We start from the raw sequence: 18,970 nt of genomic DNA, 5'->3' as shown, positions 1-18,970 counted from the left end.
TTTTTTTTTTTAATTTGAGACAGAGTCTCACTCTATCACCCAGGCTGCAGTGCAGTGGCATGATGTTGACTCACTGCAACCTCCACCTCCTGGGTTCAAGCAATTCTGCCTCAGCCTCCCAGGTAGCTGGAACTACAGGTGTGCACCACCATGCCTGGATAATTTTTATAATTTTAGTAGAGACGGGGTTTCACCATGTTGGCCAGGCTGGTCTCGAACTCCTGAGCTCAGGTGATCCACCTGCCTCGGCCTCCCAAAGTGCTGGGATTGCAGGTGTGAGCCACTGCACCCAGCCTAAATAATTCAACTTCTAAAGCCATTGGTCCAAGCAGCGTGGATTCTTGCTGGAATGTTGAGCAGTGCCAAGCAAGGAGCTGTGGCTGGGTTCTTGGCTCTATGTTGCAAATGCTATCTCTGTCCACCTCTGGATTAAAAACCAACAGAAGGAAAATCAAGAAGCTCCTTACCTCACCCGAAAGTGAATCTTACTTGAAGTCGTATCTAAAACTTCCAAATGCCTGAAACCTCCCACAAGTCTCTTTTTTAGAGTGTCCTTAACACACACTCCTCAAGCAGTGTGTTTCAGACAATACTAACAGAGGCTGAGGTTTTCGTTCAACCCGGCACCAGGATTACAAAGTCCCCCCGGACAAACACACAAAAACACCTGCAATCACAATACCACTAGTTTCAATGGACTGGAGTGTTTAAAACGGGATGAATGTTTTACTTGATTTTCTACTCCGTGACTGTGTAAAAGGGTCTCCGGAGCCAGCTGAGTGGACCATCTGACTTTATGGAGAATTCAGGGGCAGCAGCACGCGTGCCTGCACATATAAGCAGCCATTTCTGCAAATGCCTGAGACAAAATTATCGCTCAGCTGAACGGCCCAGAATGCTGGAAATCCTGCTCGTGAGTCAGACAGATCGGGGGAGCTCACAGAGGCACCTCCTCAGCTGCATGACTGGATGGCTCCCTGAAAGAGAACATGCCTTTGCCAGGAGATCAGTGGGTGTAGACATGAACAACTGAGCTCTGGGAACAGGAACGTGGCTGACACAGCCAACAGTGGTTGCTGAGTAAACCTGGGTGTGCATACCCCAACTTCACCCCCAGAGCCACAACAAAGGTCACATCCCCCAGTGCAGGCACAGGGCTCTCAGCAATCTTACACCCAGAAACTTTAAAATGTGCAGTTTTATGACAACCGAGATGATGACCCCAAACAGAACCTGATTTTGCATCACCTGTGGAGGAAATTCAGTTTCATTCTGGTGCCAGGCGCCACCTCCACAAGAACCAGTTTCCAAAGGAAATAAAATAGGAGAGGCAGTTACCTGGCCTTTCTTTATAAAAGCAAAGCAAAGCAAAACAAAACAAAATTCCAACCAAGTAGCCTTTTAAAATCACAGGTCCAGGGCCTCATCTAATAAAAATATCAAACGATTACACAAAAACAACAATACTTTTCCAAATAACTCCAACACCACCCTCTTAAGCATGGTGTCACAGGACAGAGGGAAAAGGCACCATCATGACAGGAGCCAGCCCAGGGCTACCTTATCAGATTGATGTCTGCAAAGAAACCTTTCTAAAGATGCGTATGGCAGCGTGTCCAAATGAGGGTGCTTTCCACCTTTTCCTCTGCATGTTAAACGGAACCAACAAAACCGGCTGATCATGGTCTCTGGACATCTCTGAAGTCTCCATTTGATATGATGGATGTCTTTCTAGCCACATTCCTTTGGTCCGCCCTGTCTCTTGCCCTCCCTGGGAGCGACTCCTCCCCATGGCCTCAGGAACTACCCAACATTCACTCCCAGCCTTCACCTTCATGAAGAACCACACTGCTGTGCTAGCTGCTCTACTTAGGGGTGGAGGCACCACCTCACGTGACACAGGAAAAGAAATCAGCTCTGCAATCTTGCTCTTTAACAACTCTAACTAGTAGTGTAGTGGTGAAGTTAACCTGGCAATCACTACTTGATAATTTTTGAGGGAACTCTGATCAACATCCTGATCACAACACAATGAACCCCACTCTACCACACCACGGAGAACACTTCTTCAGGTCCTAGAATCTCTGTACCCCACCCTCCCCTCTTCCCTCACCCTCAGCTCTCCAGTCCTGCTTCTCGGTGGTTTCTGCTGGTACCCAGAGGCTTCTGCCTTGATCTTTCCAGTTCCAAGACTTTGAACTCTCACTGTCTGTATTTTGAGATGCCTCTTCTTGATGTGACAGAGGCAGATATTCTAGCTTCATCACAAAGCTATATCCAAGTTGGAGTAGAGGATGATGATGATTGGACTCACCAATCATTTGTGGATTAATAGATCCGATCTGGCTGGGTGTGGTGGCTCATGCCTGTAATCCCAGCACTTTGGGAGACCAAGGTGGAACAATCCCTTGAGCTCAGGAGTTCCAGACCAGCCTGGGCTACATAGTGAGACCTTGTCTCTACAAAAAAATAAAAAGTAAAAAAATTAGCTGGTTGTGGCGGTGCATGCCTATAGTCTCAGCTACTCAGGATGCTAAGCTGGAAGGATCACTTGATCGCAGGAGTGCAAGGCTGCAGTGAGCCGTGATGGTTCCACTGTGCTCCAGCCTGGGTGACAGAGCGAGACCCTGTCTAAAGCAAAAAATAGGTCTGATCTTAGAGCCTGACCCATCTGACCTTATTTGAAAATTCACCTCATTTGTAGGAGGGCGCCATCTTTTCTCGACCTGCTACTGTCAGTTCAGCCTAGCAAGAATAAATTGAAAGGCACAGAGCATGGGTTTGCGAGTGTGGCCACCAACAGAGTCAAGTCCCAGCTCCACCATTTCCTAGCTCTGTGGCTTTGGGAAGTCACTTAGACATCCTGGGCTCTGGCTCTCTCCCAGCCCTACCAACCGTGTGACAAAGCAGAGGCTGCTCCCTCCCTCAAAGGACTGTAACAGGGACAAAATATGACAGCATGTGCTGTTAAAGGATAAATGCTCCCTTTTAAAAAATGCCTCAGATCTGGCAAGAGAAAGCAATATAACTTAAAACCAGGGAAAAGAAGACAAAATTTTAAAAGTTGCTGGCTCACACTACTAGGAACACAAAGTAGAAGGCTTGTTGCAAGAGTTCCCCACCAACAGCATCGAGTCTTCCATGCAATTTTACAGACTTACTCAGCTCCAAGTTGGGTGCTTCTTATGGGGCCTTGTTCCCTTTATCGGTTTTCTTCTTAGCAGGAAATATCCAGTGGGTAGCATCAAAGCTTCCTCCACCCAGTAAAATTCTGCCCTTCTCCCCAACCCAAAAGCTCAAATCTTCAAGGAAAAGAAGAGCATCTCCTCTCCATAAAATAGTCCAGACCTGATCTGACCTGATACACAGTGAACTCCCTTTTCCATAATACTCAGAGCTGCCAGGAATATTGAATCCCATTTGGCACCTTCTGTGTTCTGCATGGCAAGAATGCACTGGGTGAGCACATATTAGGACACATTGGTATACACAGCTGCATGTATGCTACGATCTCAATACTTCCATTTCATAGAAAATCTTTTATAATGTAATCCAGGTTTTGCTAGCAAGATGTCACTTTTCAAGCCTTTCTTCTGGGGTAACCCTTTCCTTTAATAACCAAACACAATGGTGCAATGGAATGGAAAGGCCAGGTACCATGCAGCCAGAAGAAATACAAGTGCTTCTTATTTGTCAACAAAATGGACAATATATGTACCTTATAGGCAAAAATAATGAATACATAATATATTTTTAAAAACTCATTGCTAGATGCCTGTAAGGTACATAGGAATGAAAAAGCAATGATCCCATCCTCAAGAGCCTTTATAATCTAGTAGTTTTCTTTCACCTTCTCACCAAATCTCCTAAGAGCACCACGCTGGGGGCAGGGAGAAGTTGATTTCTTATAGAGATTGAGAGTGCAAGGCCTCAAGAGGCAAAGTGACTACAGATAGTCAGGGGTGAATCTCGGACTGCAAGACAAAGCTTGCTTCTCCAAAACATCAGGATGGCCTGCAGTAGGAATAATCATACAAATTCATAAATAGGTTATCTGCCATTTCTTCAGGCATTCAGGACCATGTCAACTCCCTCCCCCTAGCTGTGAGCCTTCATCACATTTTGCCCACAGTAAGATTCGGCAAAACTGTAGGTGCAACTGGACGCCTCAGAGGCATGGCATTTATCTCTGCAGGGCTCAGGTTCCTGTGAAGAATGATCTGTCTCCAACCAGCATTCCTATGAGACTTCAAACATATCTCACTGGTTCCTAACAAATTCCGGGTGAAATTAGGTGAAAAATGAAGGTCCAGAAGAAAAAAGAAAGAGATATCTTATGCTCTTGACAGGGGTGAATGAAAAGACAGGAAGACTCTGCTGTTGCCAGGCAACCCCTGACTCTCTGAGCTTCCAGTAGGGGCCCTGACTATGGGAATGACTTCCTTTGTTTGTGCTTCCCTAGCTGCTAAGTGTCCTCTGGCAGCTGAGATCACCCCATATGTGAGACTAGAATCTGTATCCTGATTTGTGTCACCCTAGAAATGGTCTATTTCTGAGCTTCTTTCTTTCTCAGGAACCCAAAGCCTTTCTCTGTATGTCATGGATGTTATATAATCTATACGCAGGCAGTCTACGTGAACACATCATACATGCAGATTGAACCAGTTCCTCCGAAGTTCTCTGTTTCTCCCCTGTCAGCTGCCAACTTTAGCAGGCCAGCTGACACCCAGCCAGGCCATTTTATTCATTACTGTACAAAACCAGGGTTTGACCCCTCTCTTCCTAAGAATCACAGAATACAAAAGCTGGGAAGAGCTGGGGGATCCCTCGCTTCTGTCTTGACAACGCTTGCTCTTTCCTGGGGTTTAAATTAAGCATTTGACCCTAGCTATTGTAAAGCTGTCTTCCTTTTGATGGAGTACTTGTGGCTTTATTCTTTGGGGAGCACTGAAACAGTGCCCAAAGACCAGCTGGATGTGCATGAGGGAAGGCAGTCTCAGCCTCTAGGGGGAATGTCCATCAGGACCTGGGGTTTTCATGTGGCAGAAGGGTGTGTGGTATGACATGAATGTTTTCATTCATTTTGCAGAAAACTTGTGATGTAATCCAATTGTCTGCTATTGGGATGTCAATTCCCAAGTCTTTCTTCTGGGGATTACCCTTCCCTTGGATGTTATTTGAGAAAAATAACTTGAGCCCATTCCACATTCTTTATGAAGCCCATTGTCCCATTTCTGCTGGGAGTTTCCAAGGGATTAGGTTCCTCCTGGTGCATGCTCTCTCTCCCCTCTCTCTTCTCTCTCTCTCATCTTCCTTTTCCACTGAATTCTACATCCTCATGCCTTATCACTTCACCCTATGCTATTCCTCTTCTTTCTCTCCCAAAGCAGCACCAACACAAGATTAGTGTATCCGAAAGGCATTTTAGTAAAACTTGGGAGAATGGCGGGAGAATTATAGCACAATTCAGGCATCAAAGAGAGCAGGTGTATGATAGGAAAAACCAAACTGTCTGTTTTCTCCTACTACATTCTCAACACTCAACATGGATGTGTGTGTTTTTCCCCACACTGAACAATTCTTCAACAGTAACTGGGTGTCCTATAATTCAATTCAGTTCTGACACTGTTGACCTGGAGTCGGAGTGAGATCCCACAGGTTAAGGGCTCAGTTCCACAAGACCACCCCCACCCCACTTTGGATGCCAAATAAAAATCCAGGCCACCAGTACTTCTAACCAACTGGCTATAAATTGTGAGTTCTCACGAGCCCTGCCTTGTGTTGGATTATTTGCTAGAGCAGCTCACAGAAATCAGGAAAGTGCTTTACTCACTACTACTTATTTATTATAAAAGGATGTCATTCAAGAGCAGCCATATGGAAGAAATGCATAGGACAGGGTATGGGGGAAGGGGTGTGGAGCTTTCATGCCCTCTCAGGACATGCCACCCTCCATGTGTTCAGCAGCCTGAAGTTCTCTGAATCCTGTCCTGTGAGTTTTTCTGATGTTTCATTATATAGGCTTGATTGATTGAATCATTGGCTTTTGGTGATCAACTCAACCTTCCACCCCTCTCCCTTATCTAGAGGTAGGGTAGGGGGTGGATGGGACTAAAGTCCCAACCCTCTAATTACAAGGTTGGCTCCTCCAGCAACCAGCCCCATGCTGAGGCTATCCGGAGCCCTCACCCCACCAATTATGTCATCATTATACAAAAAACAAAGAAACAAACAAACAAAAAAACAAAGAAAAACACTACTTTGGAGATTCCAAGGGTATTAGGAGCCTTATGCCGGGAAACAGGGACCGCATATACATTTCTTATTATAAATCACAATGTCGCAGCACTGATACCACGGTCCTGGATTTCCCCAGCCACCACCACCCCCCGCCCTGCCCTGAGAGATTTTGCTCACGGGCATTCCTTCTTTTCAAATCTCCTGCCCACTGATATTCACAGGGATCCTGTGACCTTTCACTTGCCTGAAAGCTCCTACCAATGACCTCCTCTCTCAGGCTATGATGAGCCCCTAACCCAGAAATCCTGCTACTTGTACTGCAGAATTAGTTCTTTTTCTAAGCCTCTTGCACCCAGGCAAGTGAAATATTTCCTTTTGAATTAAAAATAATCTAACCAATTATTTACCCAGTCTAAAAATGAGATGCATTCTCATTCCTACTTATTATATTAATTACTTAGAAAAGCCTCCTCAAGAAAACTACTGTACAATCACTTGCAAAGTGAGGAGGCCTCCCTTTTCTCAATTAAACCGTTCTGCAGTCCAGATGATAAATGACATCCCTCCCCTAGAATGGAGACTGTGGCAACCATTGTTTTTGTATTTGTTTTTGCTAACTTGTAACTTTCAACTACATTGTCATAACACTAATGGAATAAAAAATCCCTCAAGAAAGTAAGTCACTTCACTTCGCTCATGGAGTAGGGGTCCCCTTATCTGATGAATGAAGGCACGTGGACCAAATTATCTCTAAGTATCTTCTAGCAGATCCTCCATGGTTCTTTAAATCCATCTGCATCTTCCCTTGCTGCAGACTTGGAGGCTGGAATGGAAGGTGGCGGTGGATGGCAGGGAGTGAATCCAGTGTCTTCTGATGTCCCTGTTAGTGCCAATGCACTGGAATGACTCAAAGAATCAACTGGAGAGTTTGTTAATTTTAAAAATACAGGTTCCCAAGTCCCACCCCTGAAGATGCTAATTTAGGAAATCAGGCAAAAGTCCATTACCTATATTTTTAAAAAATTAAATAAACACCTCCACAGGAGATCTCGATGAGCAAGAAAGGTTAGAAACCACTGAATTTTTACAACGATCAACAATAATAATCAAAATGCAGGTTAAAATAATCCATTTGAATCCAAAGAGGAAAACATTATATTAATCTTCATTAATCAATCTTAATAGATTTAGCTGATGTCTTGGGCACAGGACAGCACAAGATGGCTTTTTCCAAAGATGACATAAAAAACCAATAAGCTGCACTTTGGGAGGCTGAGGCGGGCAGATCACGAGGTCAGGAGATCGAGACCATCCTGGCTAACACGGTGAAACCCCATCTCTAACTAAAAATACAAAAAATTACCCGGGCGTGGTGGCGGGCACCTGTAGTCCCAGCTACTCGGGAGGCTGAGGCAGGAGAATGGTGTGAACCCAGGAGACGGAGCTTGCAATGAGCCGAGATCGCGCCACTGCACTCTAGCCTGGGCGACAGAGCAAGACTCCGTCTCAAAAACAAAAAAAAAACCAGTAAGCTTTCCAAAGGGTGTGTACATTAAACCTTTATTAAAATGTAATTGTGTCAGCAAGCCCAAAGGAAAGACCTGCAGCACCTCTAAATACATAGCTTAGAATAGCAACCAGGGGTTATCATGGTCTCTTCAATATTGATGAGTACCCTAACATAGCTCTTTAGCTGGTACTCCCAAACTAAGGCATTTTGGGGTAATTAAGGACATCTTTGCAAGTATTCTTTCTGGATTTAAACTAACCCAATCAACATTTTCCTACTCTTTTAAAAATAGTGATATATAAGTTATTCCTACTTGTATTACCTACTTATATCATTATCAGAAAAATCTCTTCAATGAAACTATAAAATTTGAAGCAAGCACAAAGCAAGACATATACAGCACAAAGTCACTTGCAAGTCTTTATATTAAACTGAGCAAATATTCATTGTTGCTTTAGATCTCAGTTGTCCTGAAAACAACAGAAATTCCCTCATTAATGTGGAAGAGATCATTTGAAAACAAGGAGATAAAAACTGATTTTGAAAAGACAAGTAAAATTTTTTGTTTCAAAAAGTATTTTTCTAGCTTTTGTATTAGTTGCTATATAACAAATTATGCCAACATTTGGTGACTTAAAATAATAAACATTTGTAATCTTGCAGTTTCTGTGAATCACAAATCTGGGAGCAGTTTAGCTGGGTGGTTTGGCTCAAAGTCTCTCATGAGGTTAAGGGCTGCAGTCATCTGAAGTCTTGACTAGGGCTGAAGGATCTGCTTTCAGGTTGATTCACTCACATGCCTGGCTAGTCAGTGCTGACTGTTGGCAGAAGGTCATCACCCTGGCTACATGGACCTCTCCATGAGACTGCTTGAGTGTCCTCACAACATGGCAGCTGGCTTCTTCCAAAGTGAGTGATCCAAAAGAGAACAAGACAGAAGCAGCAAGGTCTTTTATGATGCAGCATTGGAAGTCACCTGGTCATTTCCACAATATCCTATTCATCACACAGGTCAGTCTTATTCAGTGTGGAAGGAAACACACAAGGGTGTGAATATCAGAAGGCAGAAATCACTGGGGGCCACCTTGGAGACTGGCTACCACACTGCTTGAAACTAACATCAGACCTCAATAAATTATCATATTTTAATATAGGACCTAGAACACCATGAGCTGTAAGATAACTTTCTCTCTCTCTCTCTCTCTCTCTCTCTCTGTCTCTCTGTGTCTCTCTTTTAGACAGAGTCTTGCTCTGTCACCCAGGCTGGAGGGCAGGGATGCAATCATAGTTTACTGTACCTTGAACTCCTGGGCTCCAGCAATCCTCCTGCCTCAGCCTCCTGAGTAGCTGGAATTATAGGCATGAACAACCATATAAGAAAGAAAAAATGGCTAGTATTGAAAGACTCTACAAATAAACTGGGCTATCAAAGGCTATACCTTCATTGTAGGAGTAAATGAGAAATAAATCCACTCCACAAAAAAGAACAGCAGAAGACTTCTAAGTCTCACTGGCACTGGGTGAAGGTAGGAAAAATATATTCCCTGCAGAATTTGAACCCAAGTAGGTAAGACCACCAACTTGAGACAACTTTAAATAGAATTATCTGCAAATCCCCTCTAGAGAAACTTGATTTCAATCCATGTTGAATAAAATTGTAAGACACATTCCAATTTTAGAGGATGCTAAAATTTGGGAAAATGTTCATCTTAAAATCAAGAAACTAGTCAGTCATATCAGTGAAGACAGAAAAAATGTACAGAAATAGTTTAGAGTCAGCATTCCTTAGGGCAAGATTATAAAAATGGAGTCTTATTTATGAAAAAAAGAACAGAACCTCAGTCCATCTGTTGTGTTCTCTTGGCCAATACTGTGTCCTTTCTCACATTGGTTCCTTAGACTCAGCTAATTGCAGAAGCAGAAAATGAGAAAAAGCAGAAAGTTATGAAGGGAATCAGTGTAGAATCAGTAGAGATGGAATAATATTTTCTCTTTTTAGACAGATTCTCACTCTCTCAACCAGGGTTGAGTGCAGTGGCATAACCACTGCTCACTGCAGCCTCAATCTCCCAGCCCAACTGCCTCAACCTCCAGGGTAGCTGGGACTACAGGCACATGCCACCATACCTGCTTAATTATTTTTATTTTTGTAGAGACAGGGTCTTGTCATATTGCCCAAGCTGGTCTTGAGCTCTTGGGCTCAATCAATCCTCCTCCCTCAGCATCCCAAAGTGCTGAGATTACAGGTGTGAGCACCACACCTGACCTAGAAAGAATTTAGAATTAGACCCACTTAGGTCGAGACCTTTAATAGCTCTGTCATCTTGGGCAAGTTGCTTTACCTCTCTGGGCCTCTAGTCATATGACCTTCAGATAGGGTCAAGGCAACAATCTACCTTGCAGAATTGTAAGAATGAAATATCACATGTATGAAACACCTAACACAGAGCTTATACTATTTGCTTGTCTGAGTTCATTTAGTGTTGCTATAAAGGTATAACAAGCAGGGTAATTTATACATTAAAGTGGTTTATTCGGCTCTTGATTCTAATGGCTGGAAAGTTCAAAATTGGGCATCTGGTGAGGGCCTCAAGCTGCTTCCACTCACTGGTAGGTGAAGGGGAGCTGGCTGTACAGAGATCACATGGCAAGAAAGGAAGCAAGAGAAGCAGCAAGGAGGTGCCAGGCTCTTTTTTTGAATTTTATTTTATTGTAAGTTCCAGGCTCTTTTTAACAACCAACTCTTTTGGGAACTCACTTACCCCTGAGCGGGTGAATTAATCTATTCATGAAGGATCCACCCCTTGACCCAAACACCTCCCACTGGACCCCACCTCCAACACTGGGCATCAAATTTCAACATGAGGTTTGGAGGGAACAAATATCCAAACCATAGCATTGCTCAACAATGATACTCAACAATGATAGCTATTTTTATGATTACTCTCTGTTTCTAAGACTGCACTTCTTTTTAGAGATTTTTTTTAATGACTTAATAGGAAACACAGTACCCAGGAGAGACTACCTTCCTCCTGGTGCTCATTCAATAACAGCTATGAATATTGATGGGGCCATAGGTCTTCACTGAATGTGGGTCCTAGACTCAAGTGTTATTCCAACTGCACCAGCTAAGCAGCCCTGCCTCCTTCTTAATGAGCTGAAAAGAGAATAGAATGGTCCTTAGATGGGACTGCCTTCATCACCAAGAGGAGGCCCAGTAAATCTCCATTCTGGAGGAGTCAGGCAACCCTCACTGATGGGAGATTTGGAAAGACTTGTTTTTCATTCTGCAAACATTTGCTAAGAATCTCCTAAATTCCAGACTGTGGGCCAGGTTTCAGGGACATAGAGATTACTAGAACACCGCTGGTGTCCCTGAGGGGCTGACCGTCCAGTGGAGGAAGAGCAGGAGGAAGGAATTATGGCAGCCAAGAGAAAAGTCCCACAAGAGAGGCAGGTGGGGGGTTGTGTGAGCACCTGGGAGAACACAATGACTCTGCCTGGGGAGATCAGGGAGGGCTTCAAAGAGGAAGTGATGCTTGAGTGAACCACAAAGATGTGAAGTATTTTGCCAGGGGGATAATATTGAGGTCTTAGGGCTTCAATACATAACATCCATTTATTTCTTCCCTTCTCAAATATGGACTCAATTGAGAAATAAGACACAAAGAACAAACAGGCCAAAATGTCAGCTTTATTGCTAAGAAAGACCACTGGAGAACATGACTTTTGATTTTTGGTCAAAAGGGCATGCCAAAAGAGGAGGAACTTTACAGTGGAGGACCCTGACAAATACCACCTCAGCCAGGTCATCAAGCTCAATATCAACACCAAAAAGTCACATTGACAGCAAGTACCCTTGACATGATATGATGAGAAGGGCACTTAACCTCCAGGGTCTTCCTCCCCCAAAACCCATAACCCCAGTCTCATCATGAGAAAAACATCAGATTAATCCCAACAGAGGGACTTTCTGCAAAACCTCTGGGTCATCAAACACAAGGAAAGCCTAAGAAACCACCACAGCCAAGACGAGGCTAAAGAGACATGATAATGATGATGAAATGTCATGTGGTATCCTGGATGGGATCCTGAAACAGAAAGAAGGGATTAGGTAAAATCTAAGGAGATCTAAATAAACTATGGACTTCCATTAATAAGAATGTATTTATATTGGTTCATTAGTTGTAAATAAATGTATCATACTAATGTGAGATGTTAAGGACAGGAAAAACTAGGTATGAGGTAATGGGCCGTCTCTGTACTAGCCTCTCAGTTTTTCTATAAACTTAAAACTTTTCTAAAAAAAGTAAAATCTGTTAAAAAGAAACACATGGAGGGGGCATGTCAACACACCCCAGCCCCACCCAAGTACAGAGTGTGGTTCAGCTGCATGGGGACAGCAGGGAAGACTTCCCAACCCAGGGTTGCTGTGCAGGACAGTAAGGAGAGGGGAGGAGAAGAAACCAAACCCCAGGACTCAAAGGCATGTAATTGGCCCCATCCAACTATGAGCCCTGGGCTATGGACCCCCACTCCCTATCAGGTCACCAAGGCGGCCTCCACGGAGGGTCAGAGGAAGGTTGCAAGAAGCCAGGTGCTTTTCCAGAGCAGCCCTGTGGCAAAGCAGTCAGCGCCTGCGTGCTGGAGCTCATCTCTCTGAACCCCAAGCCTGGGTTTGCCACTTTCTATCTATACGACCTTGGCAGGTTGCTTAACCTCTCTGAGTCTCAGTTTTGTGAACTGTAAGATGGAGATTGTCATAAAACCTACTTCCACAGGCTGGGAGAAGATAAAATGAGATGCTGTGTGTAAAGTGGCCATGGGGTACAGTAAGGATGTGGATGCCAGCTATTATTATTACTCTTGTAGAAACATAAAGCCAGGGGAAGGTGTGCCCCTGCCCCCGGGGGGCAGTCAGTATGGGAGAGGACACTGGGGACCTGGAAGCAGCCCCCGGGAGGGTAAGGAGATGAGAGGAGCAGCCGTCTGGAACCTGTGGTCACGGCTGTTGCTGCTGCACAGGGCACACGTGAGGAAATCGCGTGGAATCAGACTATAGCAGAAGAGATGGGCTCAGGCGTGAAAGCCAATGAATGCCAGGGCTCTGGACTTTTCTACAGTGAGATGGGAATTTTTCAAAGCTGTGATAGGCAGACTTTTCCTGGAAAGGGCCAGATAGTAAATAGTTTAGGCTTTGTGGGCCGAGAGGCAAAAGGCTATTCTGTAGGTACTTTCACAACAAGAGAAAGCTGGGCAGACATTCTTGGGCATCAGATAGATATTTGAAAACAACTATTAGGTAAGCCCAACGCAATTTTGTAGCTTAAGCTTAATTCCATCCCATCTCAATTGTTAACCCCTATACACCTCAGTGTAAGAACGGGTTAAAAAAGTAAAGCAAAGAACCAAGGTGAATTGAGGAATTCTCACTGTGAAACCCCATCTCTACTAAAAATACAAAAAAATTAGCCAGCATGGTGGCATGTGCCTGTAGTCCCAGCTACTCGGGAGGCTGAGGCAGGAGAATCACTTGAACCCAGGAGGCGGAGGTTGCAGTGAGCCAAGACAGTGCAACTGTACTCCAGCCTGAGTGACAGAACGAGACTCCATCTCAAAAAAAAAAAAAAGAAAAGAAAAGAAAAGAAAAAGGAAAAAAATGAGGAATTCTGAGATCTACAGTCTTTAGCAAAATCTCCTCAGGAGTTGGAAGTGAATGCCTCAGACTCACTCACCACCTCTTCTTTTGTTCTCTATAGTTTAAAGTCTTTGGAAAAGCTGGTAATACAAAATAAAATGAAATGTTCTAGTACAGCCTGGGGGATAGCACTCCAGAGGCTGTCAACTTACGGCAGCATCGCTGCGATTTATTGTGTGCAGGCAGCAGAGAACAGCGCTGAGAGTGTCACGTGGGCTCTTTCCCAACTACTCTGCAGTTACCGTGGAAAGCAGCTGTGAACAACATTTAAAACAAATGGGTGTGATCTGTGTTCCACTAAATATTTATGGACATTGAAATTTGAATTTCATATCATTTTCACATGTCACAAAATATCATCCTTCTTTTGCTCTCCCCCCATAATCATTTAAAAAAGGAAAAATGATTCTTAGCTTCAGGACCCTACACAAACAGACAGTGGGCTGTATTAAAGGATGATTTTTTTTTTTTTTTTTGACATGGAGCCTTGCTCTGTCACACAGGCTGGAGTACAGTGGCACGATCTCAGCTCACTGCAGCCTCCGCCTCCCAGGTTCAAGCAATTCTTCTGGCTCAGCCTCCCAAATAGCTGGGATTACAGGCATGCACCACCACACCTGGCTAATTTTTTTTGTATGTTTAGTAGAGACAGGGTTTCACCATGTTGGCCAGGCTAATCTCGAAGTCCTGACCTCAGGTGATCCACCCGCTTCGGCCTACCAAAGTGCTGGGATTACAGGTGTGAGCCACCGTGCCCGGCCCTAAGGATGATTTTAAATAAGCAGCTGTATCAAGACATTAGCAAATTGCATACCTAAAGCATCTCTATGTCTTGTAGAGCTCCTGGTGACATCACCTCTGCATAGAGCAGTAAGGGTTTAGGGAAGCTGTTCGGTCTCCTCTAATCCTCCCCTTTCCTGGTGCAGTTTGCAGCATTTCACCCCCGCCCTTCAATCTTGGCTGCTGTTTCAGACAGCAGTAGGGTGAAATTCAGAAATACTCTTAATCACTCTAAACTGAGGCAGTTCTGGGCTCCTGCCACCATTAAGACAAAGCTTCTTTTTAGCTTCCTGGCTGTTGCCAGAACTCGAAGAGCTCAATTCAGTTGCTATAATTCACTTCTCTGGCACCTTCCAACTATGCAGGTCTTTGCAGTAAAGGAATCTGTAAGCTCCCAGCCTCACGGAAAGGGACTTATTATACACTGTGCTTGAGGAGAGCGGCATGTAAACAACTGAGAATAGAATACCGTATAGTAATGGCATGCTAACAATTAAAATCAATTTTGATTTCGTAATTGGGTCACTTTGCATGTTAAAACAGGAGTTTTGAAATTAATATTAATAACCACAGGTGCTGCAGTTCACAAGCTGATGCAAAAATGAGGACTAGGTGCTGGAGGAAAAGAGGGAGAAAAAGGAGAAAGGAAACGGGAACCCACAACTCCTTCATTAGTACAGAGCCCCAGAAATGATCTGGAAGGTCAGTCCATTTTACAGAGCAGGAGACGAGACAAGGGAGGCCAGCAGTTGCCCAAAGTTCATAGCTAAGTAGCGGTAGAGCAAAGGCTGGCCCCTCAGCCTCCTCTGGGCTGAGAATTACATGGCAGAAATATACATCTCTCCTCACTCCTCTTATCAAACTGGCCAGAGCCACAGAGTTTATCTTCATTTACACTGACCATCTCATATTTCTTCTCTTAAGAAAGTGAGCGTTAGATTGTGTGCCCAGGATAGTCTGGTATACATTTTTGTTCAATTCCACTGCATCCTTTTCACTCTCAACATTATGTGGTTTGAATAATTATATGGTCATCCTAGGGGTTAGCCTGTCAAACAGGGTGAAGGAGTGAAAGTGAGGGGCAGGACTGCTAGCATCTGCCAGGCCTCAGGGACAAATACAAGCTAAGGTGTTCTGGGATCTGCTTTAAGACTGCAGGTCCACATTCGATGGCTTGAAACATGTGTTAATAATGCACTGGTTTGGCCAGGCGTGGTGGCTCATGTCTGTAATCCCATCACTTTGGGAGGCCGAGGCGGGCGGATCACAAGGTCAGGAGATCGAGACCATCCTGGCTAACAGGGTGAAACCCCGTCTCTACTAAAAGTACAAGAAATTAGCCAGGCATGGTGGCGGGTGCCTGTAGTCCCAGCTACTCGGGAGGCTGAGGCAGGAGAATGGCGTGAACCCAGGAGGCGGAGCTTGCAGTGAGCCGAGATTGTGCCACTGCACTCCAGCCTGGGCAACAGTGCAAGACTCTTTCTCAAAAAAAAAAAAAAAAAAAGCACTGGTTTTATTCTCCAAGCCATTGCCATAGGCATCGATGAAGTTGAAAGGGTCTTTTGTCCTTTGAACTCCCCAGTGGTTTTCTCTGTGCACACAAGGCTCAGTGCTGGTTTCCAGTCCGAGCAGCTCAGCAGCAGCCTCAGGGCATGAACTGGCACCTTCAGCACATCTGTACCCACCGCTCCAACAGCCGCAGGGCCAGAGACAGTGATGTTGCATGGTCTAGAGAAAACCCTTGCCCCCTCGGAGGTATGGCTTTGAAATGGATTGTTCTGTAAGAAACAGAAAGGCTAGAAATGTTTACTTGGTGCTAAAAAACAAGGACCTAAGTCTCACGAGAAGACTCCACACACTCCTGAGTGTGACTCCAAGCATTTTAACATCTAGTTAATAAAAGCAGGAAGGAGGGGGAGGGACACGTTGTGAGCAGATTTCCAAAAGCATGCCCTGGGGATGGGGTGGGGACAGGGGCTGGTGAAATGCAGATTCCTGATCACCACCTGAGATCCCCTGGTCTTCGAGACGGCATCGGTACAGAGAACCCCAGGTGATTCCAGCATACACCGAACATTTGGGAGACTGACTGAGGAACGTTTTTCAATATACTCTGACCATTCCTGTCTCTTCCTGCCTTCTTTACTGCCTTGAGGTTGCTTAATGGGCTTTCTTCCCAGAGCTGAAGGTGAGATCCTTGAAGACAGATTTTGATTAATGAAAGAAAGAATCAATCAACAAAAGAAAGGCAAAAAAGGAGCAAGGAAGGAAGGAATCAATTACGTGAACGTGGATCCCAAGAAGAATTTCAAGCTGCTTTCGCTCAACAGCCTCCCCACTTTCCTCCTTAGGTGATGCAGGAAATTCACGTGCATCCTGGGTTCACATGATCCAGAATCACGCGTCTCCACCCTATATCCTCCCAATAGGTTCCAAGTCGAATCTCTCCACGGCCTCGCCATCTGCCTGCAGCCTTGTCCATATAATTCCACAGCACCTTCAGATGTCTTTTTCCACAGTGCCATGAAGTGGAAATTAGGAAACACCAAGATTATTCTGTCACAGACATATTTGCTAGCCTTCTCTTTAACTGATTGACACGGGGGAAAGTGCTTTCAGTTAGCTTGCTATAGAGTGGGACAAGAAAGCCACGTAGTCATAAACATGTGCCTTTTAAAAATCAAATCCTACAACCAGTACGAGCCTGATGGATGCAACGTCAGCGACTGCTCAATGGCTTCTCTCTGGAAGGTGCTTTTTGTCCCCAGGCGGCTGAAGGTCATAGCATTAATCTGTTCTCCAAACCCTCAATCTTAGGCCCCTCTCCTCCCTTCTGGTTTCTTTCTTTCCCAGCTCTGTTTCCTGGATGCTCTGACTGTCAGCAATAACAAGGACAAAGGTAGGGCAAGGGACCTAAAAGGACGAAGGAGTGTGGAGGAGGAGGAGAAGCGCTGGGGTGGCTGTTTCACCTTCAGCACACACTCCAGGCTGCTCTGACGGAAAGACCCAGGAAGGCCATTCATTGCAGACTTTTCTCACCCTGCCAAGCTGGACAGCTCGAGAACAGGCCATGGAAGTGGTTTCTCCCCTGAGACCATCATTTCAAGACCTATTTGCCCTTTGAGGCTACCCACGTGTGACCCTGGGAGATGTGTGTGGCTATATTTCACCTCAAACCCTAACCTCAGCAGCTGTGCTGTTTGGTTGCTCAGCCGCGGAGCAGCAGGTGGCCTTCTGCTGTTACCCATGAAGGGGTCAAGCTAGGCCAGGCCTGCTGGGAGCCCAGTGAAGATTTACTGGCAGTGATGCCTCCAACACTTCTTTCTCCAGAGCGAGAGCAACAGCAGGTGAGGCATCCATGACCAGCCTGTCACTTTCCTCGGGGAAAGAGAAAGGAAGCCATATGCTGACCTTTCGTGTGCAGAAGTAGCACAGTCAGAGCATATGTCCAGGAGCTGCAGAGACGCCATACGCATAGCACAGCCTTTGTCCAAACACTTTTCCAAGAATAAAAAGACTTCATTAATGCAATGCACTCCCTCACACCCCCCAGACGCCAGCTAGCCTCTTGATGATTTCACCGGCCAGTTTCTTTGTTGTCTGGAGAAGGTTGTGGGCTCTTCTGTCTATCTTCCAGATAGTGGAGGCCAGATGGGCAATAGACTAAGAATAGGGGCTAGCACTGCAGCAGTTTTGTTAAGCTAGCTATACAAAATAGAACTTTCTGGCTGGACACAGTGGCTCACGCCTATAATCCCAGCACTTTGGGAGGCCAAGGCGGGAGAATTGCTTGAGCTCAGGAGTTTGAGACCAGCCTGAGCAATAAAGCGAGGCCTCCATCTTTACAAAAAAAGAAAAAGAAAAAAAATTAGCTGGGCATGGTGGTGCATACTTGTGATCCCAGCTACTAAGGAGGCTGAGGCAGGAGGATCACTTGAGCCCAGGAGTTTGGGTTGTAGTGAGCCATGATTGCACCACTGCACTCCAGCCTGTGAAACAGGGTGAGACCTTGTCTCAAAAGAATAAAAAATAAAAATTTGTTGATGGAGTAATGAATATTGCAGTGGAAAGCAATGATATTGTCCAAGGTTGAGTCTCTGCAAGAGAATAGATCTGTATCTGCAAGATGAGGGCCTCGATCACATGTATGTAGATGTGGACAGACAGGCTGACTCATGCTCAGGTTGTTTTTAAACGCCTGTGGCTTTAGGGGGAAAAAGACAAAAAGAAGGAAAAGTGCCCAGATTTGACAGTGTGTGGTACAAGTTTAGGTGAGTTTTTTCTTTCTTCCTACAGGATAGATTTTCCAATATTCCTATAGGATAGATTTTTCCAGTCTCCTATGGCAAGCGTTTGTTACCATCATAATCAGAAAGAAGATGACACAGTGTCCCAACACTGGATTTACTATAGTCTACACCATGCAAATGAATTAACTCAGTGTCAGATGCCTCATCAAAGGTGGGGGAGAACAGGCATGGTTGAGTCATTCCCACAAATCAAGCAGTTGGAATCCATGAAGAAACTGTCTTCCACAGCATCAGAGCACCTTCCGCCAGGAACGTGCCTGAACCCGCCTGGCCCTGGAGGTAAAGTTTAGAAGCAGAGACTGGTTAGGAACCAACCAGCCACACTGAGACACCAGCTAAACGCCGGTTTCCATAAACCTCTTTAGGAGCTTAGGAACTTCAATTTTATTGACCATCAACCATCCAGTCTTAGATAAAGGGTCAGGGAGCAAC

At 45.0% G+C, this 18,970-nt stretch overlaps 1 long non-coding RNA gene across 2 annotated transcripts in view, besides 1 other annotated feature; it reads right to left on the bottom strand.

Moving 5' to 3' along the window:
* Nucleotides 1-18,970, bottom strand: part of LOC105378054 (uncharacterized) — a 36,714-nt gene that overhangs the window by 14,592 nt on the left and 3,152 nt on the right. The window contains exon 1 of one of the 2 annotated variants that reach the window (XR_943108.3): nucleotides 468-607. The exons of the other annotated variant lie outside the window; for it this stretch is intronic. This is a non-coding gene — a long non-coding RNA (uncharacterized LOC105378054). Of the gene's footprint in view, nucleotides 1-467; nucleotides 608-18,970 lie in introns of those variants that run through there. 2 annotated transcript variants of the gene reach the window in all.
* Nucleotides 17,444-17,944: an enhancer, noted in NCBI's record as "H3K4me1 hESC enhancer chr6:150594726-150595226 (GRCh37/hg19 assembly coordinates)". NCBI's record gives its function as "activates a minimal SCP1, AML or CMV promoter by ChIP-STARR-seq in naive H9 embryonic stem cells {active_cell/tissue: H9 hESC(naive)}" and the evidence as "EXISTENCE:reporter gene assay evidence [ECO:0000049][PMID:30033119]".

This window comes from Homo sapiens, chromosome 6 (genome assembly GCF_000001405.40).
Source record: "Homo sapiens chromosome 6, GRCh38.p14 Primary Assembly".
In the NCBI taxonomy this organism is placed as follows: Eukaryota; Metazoa; Chordata; class Mammalia; order Primates; family Hominidae; genus Homo; species Homo sapiens.
This window is presented reverse-complemented; position numbering and strand designations above follow the sequence as displayed.